The sequence below is a fragment of the Homo sapiens genome, chromosome 14, assembly GCF_000001405.40.
Source record: "Homo sapiens chromosome 14, GRCh38.p14 Primary Assembly".
Classification (NCBI taxonomy): Eukaryota; Metazoa; Chordata; class Mammalia; order Primates; family Hominidae; genus Homo; species Homo sapiens.
In genome coordinates this window covers 38908023-38919201 of record NC_000014.9, presented here as the reverse complement: position 1 = coordinate 38919201, position 11179 = coordinate 38908023, and the positions used below count along the sequence as shown (strand labels likewise).

Here is an 11179-nt window from a genome sequence, read left to right as displayed (position 1 = left end):
TTTGCTTTTAAAAAGTTTTAATAGCCATAATAATAATTTATTTACAGAATCAAGTACAAACTCTAAGACTTCATAACTCTAAATACATTGCAATGCATTTTCGAATAACGCAATGTGGCTGACAATGGCTGAGGCGACGGGCAGACTAATCAAGTGCAGAAATTGGTGATTGTTTTCATAGCACATGCCAGACTGCATCTCCAGCTGGAAATTCCATAAAAGAAATAAATAATAGTATCACCCTTGGGTGCACTACTGAAAATACAATATCTGGTTTTGTGAGTGCCAGTCCATTCTGCTCAGACACTGGTACCATACTATTGTTTCAGAGGTATCATAGTACCGTCACAGTACTGTCTCAGACAAAATGGGATACTTCAGAGAAAAGCAGCCAAGAGAACTAAAGTCCTATCAGTTAAGGAAGAGTAGAAGAAATCTGGAGTGTTCAGCCTGGAAAAGATTTAGGGGATCGTGGTGGCAGATTTAGAATAGTTGAGCAATGAGACTTGCTCTCTCTCCTTGGGTGGAAACTGGATAAATGGACAGAAGTTACAAAGAAGCAGATTCTGGTTATTAAGGTTCAATGTAAAGAAAAGCTAAATTAGCACTATAATGCAAATAGCTTTACGTATTCCTTCCACAAGGCCACATCAGTTGTATTGTGGGTTGTGTGTGTTCGTGTGTGTGTGTGTATTTAACACTTATTCTAAAAAGCCAATGTATTTAGGGGTTCTGAGGAATTTATAGATCTAGTAAACTGTGGGCCTTTTAATGCATAATTTGTGAACTAATCAATTTTCTCATTTTAATACAACCTCCCTCCCTCCCTCTTTTCCTTCCTTCCTTTCTTCCTTCCTTCCTTCCTCCTTTTCCTCTGTTCCTTTCTTTTCTTTTCTTTTTTTTTGTTATACTTTAAGTTCTAGGGTACATGTGCACAATGTGCAGGTTTGTTACATATGTATACATGTGCCATGTTGGTGTGCTGCACTGGTTAACTTGTCATTTACATTATACTACAGGGCTACAGTAACCAAAACAGCATAGTACTGGCATAAAAACAGACACATAGACTAATGAAACACAATAGAGAACCCAGAAACAAACTCATACATCTACAGTAAACTTGTTTTCAACAAAGGTACCGAGAATATATGTTGGAGAAAAGGCAGTCTCTTCAATAAGTGGGGCTTGGAAAACTGGATATCCATAGGCAGAAGAATGAAACTAGACCCCTATCTCTTGCCATATACAAAAGTCAAATTAAAATTGATTAAAGACTTAAATCTAAGACCACAAGCCATGAAATTACTAAAAGAAAATAGCCTACCTCAGCTTCCCACATGCTAGGATTATAAGCATGAGCCACTGTGCCCAGTGATACAACATTTATGACTGCAAAGTAACTCATCTCCCCTTTGCAGTTAACAGCACTTTGTGGGGAGATAATTTGAGACCATGTTGGTTGTCATCAAACCTTCACTCAGATTCAGCATCATTTGATGCTTTCTTCTTCAATCAACTACTACTATAATAGTTGCCAAATAATGACCTTCCAATTCTACCTTTCCTTCTGCATACAGTAATTAGCATTCTTATGTAAGGAATAATTATTTGTTTGTTTATGTAATTTGAACTCATGAATTCCTAGTTTATTTAATGGGCTATAATCTGCTATTATCATTTGTTTATTTTTTAAAAGTTTTATTTTAAGTCCAGGGGTATAAATGCAGGTTTGTTACATAGGTAAACTTGTGTCATGGGAGTTTGTTGTACAGATTTTGTCACCCAGATCTTAAGCCTAATACCCATTAGTTATTTAATTATTAGTTATTTTTCCTGATTGTCTTCCTTCTCCCACCCTCCAGCCTCTGAAAGGCCCCAGTGTGTGTTGTTCCTCTCTGTGTGTCCATGTGTTCTCATCATTTAGCTCCCACTTATAAATGAGAACAGGCAGTATTTGGTTTTCTGTTCCTGTATTAGTTTGCTAAGGATAGTGGCCTCCAGTTCCATCTGTGTTCTTGCAAAGGACATATCTCTTTCTTTTTTATTACTGCATAGTATTCCATGGTGTATATTGATCACATTTTCTTCATCCAGTCTACTGTTGGTGGACATATAGGTTGATTCCATGTGATATGGTTTGTCTCTGTGCCTCCACCCAAATCTCATCTTATAGCTCCTATAATTCCCATGTATTGTGGGAGGGACCCAGTGGGAGATAATCAAATCATGGGGGTGGGTATTTCCCATACTGTTCTCATGATAGTGATGGGTCTTACGAGATTTGACAGTTTTAAAAACAGGAATTTTCCTGAACAGGGTCATTTTTTTTTTTTTGCCTGCTGCCATCCATGTAAGATGTGATTTGCTGCTCCTTGCCTTCTGCCATAATTGTGAAGCCTCCCCAGCTATGTGGAACTGTAAGTCCAATAAACCTCTTTCTTTTGTAAATTGCCCAGTCTTGTGTATGTCTTTATCAGCAGCAAGAAAATGGACTAATAGAGTAAATTGGTAGCAGTAGAGTGGTGTGCTGCTGAAAAGATACCTGAAAATGTGGAAGTGACTTTGGAACTCGGTAACAGGCAGAGGCTGGAATGGTTTGGAGGGCTCAGAAAAAGACAGGAAAATGTGGGAAGGTTTGGAACTTCTTAGAGACTTGTTGAATGGCTTTGACCAAAAGCCTGATAGCAATATGGACAATAAGGTCTTGGCCGAGGCTGTTTCAGATAGAGATGAGGAACTTGTTGGGAACTGGAACAAAGGTGACTCTTGTTATGTTTTGGCAAAGAGACTGGTGGTATTTTGCCCCTGCCCAAGAAATCTGTGGAACTTTGAACTTGAGAGAGATGATTTAGGGTATCTGACTGAAGAAATTTCTAAGCAGCAAAGCATTCAAGAGGTGACTTGTGTGCTGTTAAAGGCATTCAGTTTTATAAGGGAAGCAGAGCATAAAAATTCGGGAAATTTGCAACCTGATAATTTGATAGAAAAAGAAAACCGGTTTCCTGAGGAGAAATTGAAGCTGGCTGTAGAAATTTGCATAAGTAATGAGGAGCCAAATGTTAATCCCCAAGACAATGGGAAAAATGTCTCCAAGGCATATCAGAGGTCTTCATGGCGGCCCCTCCCATTACAGGCCCAGAGGCCTAGGAGAAAATGCTCTCGTGGGCCAGCCCCATGGTCCCTGTGCTGTGTGCAGTCTAGGGACTTGGTGCCCTGTGTCCCAGCCACTCCAGCCCTGACTAAAAGGGGCCATGGTACAGCTTGGGCTGTTGCTTCAAAGGGTGGAAGCACCAAGCCTTGGTAGCTTCCATGTGGTCTTGAGCCTGTGGGTGCCCAGAAGTCAAGAACTGAGGTTTGAGACCCCCTGCCTAGACTTCAGAAGATGTATGGAAATGGTACCAGCTCTTCTTTTTCTTTCTTCTTCTTCTTCTTCTTTTTTTTTTTTTTTGAGACAGTGTCTCACTTTGTCAACCAGTCTGGTCACAAACTCCTGCCTGGCCCCCCCAAGTAGTTGAGACTATAGGCATACACAACCATGCTCTACTAATTTTTTGTATTATTTGTAGAGATGGGGTTTTGCCATGTTGCCCAGGATGGTCACAAACTCCTGAGCTCAAGTGATCTGTCCACCTTGGTTTCCCAAAATGCTGGGATTACAGGTGTGGGCCACTGTGTCTAGCCTTTGTATCAGCTCTTCTTTGTACATCTGCTAGAATTCAGCTGTGAACTTGTCTGGACCTGGGCTTTTTTTGATTGGTAGGCTATTTATTACCACCTCAATTTCAGAACTTGTTATTGGTCTACTCAGGGATTCAATTTCTTCTTGGTTCAGTCTTGGGAGGGTATGTGTGTCCGGGAATTTATCCCTTTTTTCTAGGAAGGGTGTGTGTGTCCATGAATTTATTCATTTCTTCTATATTTTCAAGTTTATGTGCATAGAGGTGTCCATAATATTCTCTGATGGTTGTTTGTATTTCTGTGAGTTCAGTGGTAATATCCTCTTTGTCATTTCTGACTGTGTTTATTTGAATCTTCTCTCTTTTCTTCTTTATTAGTTTAACTAGTGGTCTATCTATTTTATTAATTTTTTCCAAAAACTAGCTCCTGGATTCATTGATCTTTTGAATAGTTTTTCATGTCTCTATCTCCTTCAGTTCAGCTCTGATTCTGGTTATTGCTTCTCTTCTGCTGGCTTTGGGATTTGCTTGGCCTTGGTTCTCTAGTTCTTTTAGTGGTGATGTTAGGTTGTTAACTTGAGATCTTTCTAACTTTTTGATGTGGGCATTTAGCACTATAAATTTCCCTCTTAATACTGCCTTAGCTGTGTCCCAGATATTCTGGTACATTGTATCTTTGTTCTTGTTAGTTTCAAAGAACTTCTTGATTTCTGCCTTCATTTCATTGTTTACCCAGAAGTCCTTCAGGAGCAGGTTGTTCAATTTCCATGTAGCTGTGTGGTTTTCAGTGAATTAATTTCTTTCTTTCTTTTCTTTTTTTTGAGATGGAGTCTTGCTCTGTCATGCAGCTTAAAGTACAATGGCTTAATCTCAGCTCACTGCAACATCCTCCTCCTGGGTTCAAGCAGTTCTGTCTGCCTCAGCCTCCCAAGCAGCTGGGATTACAGATGCCCACCACTACACCTGGCTATTTTTGTATTTTTAGTAGAGATGGGGTTTTGCCATGTTGGCCAGGCTGGTCTTGAACTTCTGACCTCAGGTGATCTGCCTACCTTGGCCTCCCAAAGTGCTGGAATTATGCTCACGCCACTGTGCCTGGCTGTGAATTTCTTAATCCTGAGTTCTAATTTGATTGTGTTGTGGTCTGAGAGACTGTTTATTATGAATTTCAGTTCTTTTGCATTTATTTGTTGAGGAGTGTTTTACTTCCAATTATGTGATCAATTTTGGAGTAAATGCCATGTGGCATCAAGAAGAATGTAGATTCTGTTTTTGGTGAGGGTTCCATATACATCTATCAGGTCCATTTGCTTCAGTGCTGAGTTCAGGTCTTGAATATCTTTGTTAATTTTCTGTCTCAGTGAGCTGTCTAATATTGTCAGTGGAGTGTTAAAGTCTCCCACTATTATTTTGTAGGAGTCTAAGTCTCTTTGAAGGTCTCTAATAACTTGCTTTATAGATCTGGGTGCTCCTGTGTTGGGTGCATGTATATTTAGGATAGTTGTTTCCTCTCGTTGAATTGAACCCTTTACCATTATGTAATGTCCTTCCTTGTCCTTTATGGTCTTTGCTGGTTTAAAGTCTGTTTTGTCAGAAACTAGGATTGCAACCCCTCCTTTTATTCTGTTTTCCATTTGCTTGGTAGATTTTTCTCCATCCCTTTATTTTGAGCCTCTGTGTCTCATTGCATGTAAGATGGGTCTCTTGAAGACAGCGTACCTATGGGTCTTTATCCAGCTTGCCACTCTGTGTCTTTTAATTGGGGCACTTAGCCTATTTACATTTAAGGTCAGTATTGATATGTGTGGATTTGATCCTGTCATGATGTTAACTGGTCATTTTGAAGACTTACGTGGTTACTTTATAGTGTCACTGGTCTGTGTATTTCAGTATGTTTTTGTAGTGGCTGGTAATAATCTTTCCTTTCTATATTTAGTGCTTCCTTCAGGAGCTCTTGTAAGGCAGGTCTGGTGGTAAAAAAAATTCCCTCATCATTTGCTTGTCTGAAAAGGATCTTATTTCTCCTTCGCTTATGATGCTTAGTTTGGCTTGATATAAAATTCCAGGTTGGAATTTCTTTTCTTTTAAAATGTTGAAGATTAGCCCCTAATCTCTTCTGTCTTGTGGGTTTCATCTGAGAGGTCCACTGTTAGTCTGATGGGCTTCCCTTTGTAGGTGATCTGGCCTTTCTCTCTAGTTGCCTTTAACATTTTCTCCTTCATTTCAACCTTGGAGAATCTGAAGATTATGTGTCTTGGGGATGAGCTTCTCATGGGGTATCTTACTGGGGTTCTATGCATTTTCTGAATTTGAATGTTGGCCTCTCTAGCTAGGTTGGGGAAATTCTCATGGATAATATCCTGAATTATGTTTTCCAAATTGGTTCCATTCTCCCCATCTCTTTCAGGTTCACTGATCAGTTGTAGATTTGGTCTCTTTACAAAATCCCATATTTCTTGGAGGTTTTGTTCATTCTGTTTCATTCTTTTTTCTCTGGTCTTGTCTGCCTGTCTTATTTCAGAAACACAGTCTTCAAGCTCTGAAATTCTTTCCTCCACTTGGTCTATTCTGCTATTAATCCTTGTGATTGCATTAAGAAATTGTTTTATTGTGTTTTTCAGCTCTATCAGGTTAGTTACATTCTTCTCTATACTGGCTATTTTGTCTGTCAACTCCTGCAATGTTTTATCATGATTTTTGGCTTCGTTGCATTGGGTTACAATGTACTCCTTTAGCTTAGTGAACTTCCTTCCTACCCATATTCTGAATTCTGCTTCTATTGTTTCAGCCATCTCAGCCTCATCCCAGTTCTGAACGCTTGCTGGAGAGGTGATGCGGTCATTTGGAAAAAGAGGGCACTCTGGCTTTTTGAGTTTTCAGTGTTCTTGTGCTGATTCTTTCTCATCTTTGTGGGCTTATCTATTTTCAGTCTTTGAGTTTGCTGATCTTTGGATTTCTTTTTTTCTTTTAACAACTTGGCCACTTTTCCATAGAGCTGCTGTGGAATGCTGGGGGTCTGCTCCAGTCCCTACTTGCCTTGGATTTTCCAGTACCTGGAGGTATCACCAGTGAAGGCTGCAAAACAGCAAAGATGGCGGCCTGCCCTTTCCTATGGGAGCTGCATCCAAAGGATGTACGGACCTCCTGCTGGCTCAAACACACCTGTAAGAGGTGGCTGGAGACCCCGGATGAGAGGTCTCAGCCAGTCAGAAGGAACAGGATCAGTGACTCACTTAAAAAAGTGGTCTGGTCATGTTTTTGTAGAGCAGCTTTGCTGTACTGGGAAGCCACTTTAGCCCCTGGTCACCTCAAGTACTCTGAAGTCCAAATGCTGGAACGGCTAAGTTGCCTAAACAGCTAAGTTGTCTAAATGGCTAAGTTGCCTGAACAACAGCTTGCTTCTCCTCCTGAGAGTTCCATCCCAGGGAGGCCTGAAGCCTCTGTCAGCCAGAGAACACTGGTGGGTATAGCTAGAGACCCTGGTTGGGTGGCCCCACCCAGTGATGAGGAATGGGGTCAGGCAGCCACTTAGAAAGCAGTCTGGCCACAGTTTTGTTTGGGCTGCTGTGCTGTGCTGGGGTACTGCTTCCACCTCTGGTCAGCTTGGGCTCTCCAAAGCCCGAAAGCTGGAACTGCTAAGTTGCCCAAACCACAAAGATGGTGGCCTGCCCCTGCTCCTTGGAACTTTGTCCCAGGTAGTTTTCTAATTTCTGTAGGCCAGAGAACACTGGTGGAGGTGGCTGGAGGCCCCAATTGGGAGGTTCCGTTCAGTGAGGAGAAACAGGATCAGGGACCCACTTAAAGATGCAGTCTGGCCATGCTTTCTTAGAGTAGCTGTGTTGTGCTGGGGTACCACTCCTGCCCCAGTTGGCTTGGGCTCTCCAAAGCCCAAAGCCTGGAACTGCTAAGTCATCCAAACAGCAAAGATGGAAGCCTGCCCCTTCCTCTGGGAGCTCTGTTCTAGGGAGCTTTCAAATCTGTCTGCCAGAGAACACTAGTGAGGGTGGCTGGAGGTCTTCTCCATGGTTTGAGTTGTTTCCTTGACTAGTACTAGTGCGAGTACCTGAATGTTTCTGTTGAAGGTGCCATATTTACTCACCCCATTTGTTCCTCTCCTTGAGAGCCATACACCTAAGCTGCATCTAGTTGGCCATCTTAGCCACTTCCCCTTATTATCATTTAGTTTGATGTTCAGATTGTCATAGACTTGATCAGTGGGAGCTCATTCAGGCTCTGACACCACCATTACTCAGCCACCACCTCCCCTGACTTGATGCCTGTCTCAGAATCCTCCTCACATGGCCTCTAGATAGCAGGAAGGAAGGAGATTACATTTTAATTCTTTGCTGACATCAAAAGTAGAAGAACATTAAAAAAAATTGATGTTTGCGATTCTTGCATTTTACACTTTAAATAAAAAGCAGCTGCTTTATTTTGTATCTTTTTGTGTTTTGGTTCCCTGTGATGAGATACAAAAAATTTTATTCTTGCTATTTTGTAAGCACTTTTCTGTAACATCTTACAGGTGTGGTTAAGTATTATTTTCAATGAATTAAAAGAGAAATTTAACATAATTGCCAGGCAATTTCATCTTCTTAACTTTATTTTTAAGGTATTGAATATGTCTTGAGGTGCTATATAAGAATTTTTATCAGATGAATACAATTTAGAATTCTGGAAAAGAACATCTTGAGGTGATGTTTAAGAATTACTGTCACTTTCAGTGCCTCTTTAAATTGGGTATTAATGGCATGCTCTTTAAATGTCCTGAGTTTAACCAATAGTCCATTTTGGGTGTAAATTAAGCAGCAAATGGCTAAAAAAAGTACTGTATAACTGTTTTGTGACCACATGCCCTCTGGCAGCTAGTGTGCCCAGCCATGTGGCACCCTGGGTTATGGGTATGCTCTTTGGATCTGCACTACTAGTAGTTAAAATTACTCTGTTCATAACTGAGGGCTTTCAAAATGTTATTTTAAAGGGGAAAATGTTGGTTATTTATGGACTTTTTCCCCCAAAAAACCTTGCCATTGTTGCTTTTAATGACAGAAACCCTGTGGAACACCTGTATAGGCCTCTGAATCCCTTTTGGAATCTGAGAAAAGCATATTTATGCACAAATGCAGAGTTTTGTCTACAACTTAAGGAAGTTTGCATATCTCAGGTCAAGAGTCCCGTTCTTAAATGGTCTATTTTTGTGGTTTGTAGCCAAGGTTAGAAAGTGACACAAAGTGATTTATTCCAAATCAGTAAGAGATCAGAGATTCACTTTCATTTTTGGTTTTCTCTTTGAGAAGAGATTTATGAGAATAGATTGACACTGAAAACATAGCTTAATTTTGAGCACCTCAAGACTTAACAAATTTGATGAAAATGTTTCAACAAATACCATTTAAAAAAAGTATTTCAAGTTAGGCTTCAATTTTCTTCCTATAAAGCAAGTTGTCTAAGCCAGAAAGGGCCAAACATTTTGTGCTTGGAAGCAGTTAGGTTCTGAACGCATGGGAATGTGCATATTGGAGTACTGTGCCTCAGTCTTGGGCTTTATGGTGTTGAGCATTCTCAGTTTTAATTGTAATAGGGTGATTTGGTGGTTGTCTAATTTCAAATGAGAGACACTTTTGAATTCTACCTGTTGAGCTGATCAATTTGAGATGTGCTCAGCAACGAGGAGGAAAGGCAGATTTCAGACCATCCAGAGTGCCTACTGGCCTTGCACTGAGGTCCATGAGTCAAAACAGCAGTGCTAGTCTGATTGGAAAACTCAGGGAAAAGACTGATCTCAGCTTAAAAATCTGCTGGCAAAGTCAATTACCGAGTTCAAAGACAGTGAGATAAAAAATAGCTAATTATAAAAGTGAGCCGTATGGACTTAATTATGAACAATAAAATGAACTCTCATTAAAAAGGCATAAATTCATCACTTTGCAGCTCAATAAACATAAAAATGGGAAAATAGCCTATTCTTTTTAATGATAAAAATCAGTAATAGTATTAGTATATTATGCATTTATATGCTAAATATTCTAGGTTTCTTTTGCATTTGTTATTTATTTTTTAAAGATATCTTTTCAAGAAAGCATTGACTTCATTATTTTATGGGTAAAGAAATCAAAGCTAGAGAAATTAGAGCCACAAAACTAGGAGGTGATACAGCAGAAATTGGAACCCAGGACATGCTGGCATGACTCCACATTTAAACGATTTATACTCTCCATGCTGCTTCCCTTTAAGACTTGAATGATAAACTCTTGGCACTTTTATTAATATTGTCACACTAGTATTGTTTGTATTATATTAATCAGCACACACGCCTAAGAGGCTTACCACAGTACAACTTTATTTCTCCCTAATGTAAAGCTCAAAGGCGGGGTACCCTTGGCTGCAGTCATCAGATCTGTGCTGATGGTCGCTCTACTGCCTTCAGCATGTGGCTGCTGCCAGTGTAACTAGAGGTGTTGCTATTTGGGCGGCCAGATTTAGCAAATACAAACACTAGACACACAGCTAAATTTGAGTTTTACATAAACAACAGAAAACTTTTTAGTACAAGTATATCCCATGAAATATTTGGGACATTTACATTTTTGATGCTTTTTATATGCTAATCTGGCAACTTGACTGTCAGTGCTCCTGGTAAATATATGTCTCAAATACTGCATGGAATATATTTACACTAAAACATAATTTAGTTTTTTGAAATTCAAATTTAAATTTGTGCTCTGCATTTTATCTGGCAACTCCAGTTGACATCAAATGGGATGGCTGGTGAACATGGAAGAGTTTCTGGGAAGTTTTTATAGGACAGGCCTGAAAGTAGCAAATTAGTTTTGGGCACATTTTCTTGGTAACAACCTATCTATATCATAGCCGCTCCTACATGTAAGGGGGATTGGACAATACCCTACATCAATATTATGTATCTACATCAATATCATGCTATGGGAGGGTGGCACAAATCATAGTTAGGCATCTTAGTATTTCTGCCATAGCACATGAGCAGGTATCACATGCCAATTTGCAGTGGGTCCTATGTCTGCATATACAGGCAACATGTAATAGGAATTAAGCATTTTGTCCTGACAAATCAGGACTTAAACTATAGGTCAGTCTCTAGCTTTGAGACTTGGACAAGTTTCTTTTCCTTTCTAAGCCTCAGTTTCCTCATTGATCACAGAACATTTTTAGAGAGTTTTTAAAAGAATTAAATCAGATAAGACATGTAAAGTACTTTGCACTGTATCTGGGAATACATGATGGCAGCTACTTCTATGAGTCGTAGAATAGAAATATTTGCCAATCTTGGAGCTTGCAGTGAGCCGAGATCGCGCCACTGCGCTCCAGCCTGGGCGACGGAGCGAGACTCTGTCTCAAAAAAATAAAATAAAAAAAAGAAATATTTACCAATCTATTTACTTTGTGTCTTTTTCTGTTCCCAGTGTTTTCTGGTGGCTAAAAGAAAAGAAAAAGCAAGCATGATAAAGACTAATTAAGAGTTG

At 39.8% G+C, this 11179-nt stretch overlaps 2 long non-coding RNA genes across 2 annotated transcripts in view; one reads left to right on the top strand and one right to left on the bottom strand.

Moving 5' to 3' along the window:
* Nucleotides 1-11179, bottom strand: part of LOC105370457 (uncharacterized) — a 40472-nt gene continuing 29293 nt past the window's right edge. Inside the window, exons 4-5 of the long non-coding RNA NR_135256.1 lie at nt 11085-11132; nt 1-204 (exon numbers count right to left, since the gene is read on the bottom strand). This is a non-coding gene — a long non-coding RNA (uncharacterized LOC105370457). The remainder of the gene's footprint in view (nt 205-11084; nt 11133-11179) is intronic.
* The window catches only part of LINC00639 (long intergenic non-protein coding RNA 639), a 167544-nt gene continuing 158684 nt past the window's right edge, over nt 2320-11179 (top strand). Inside the window, exon 1 of the long non-coding RNA NR_039982.1 lies at nt 2320-2420. This is a non-coding gene — a long non-coding RNA (long intergenic non-protein coding RNA 639). The remainder of the gene's footprint in view (nt 2421-11179) is intronic.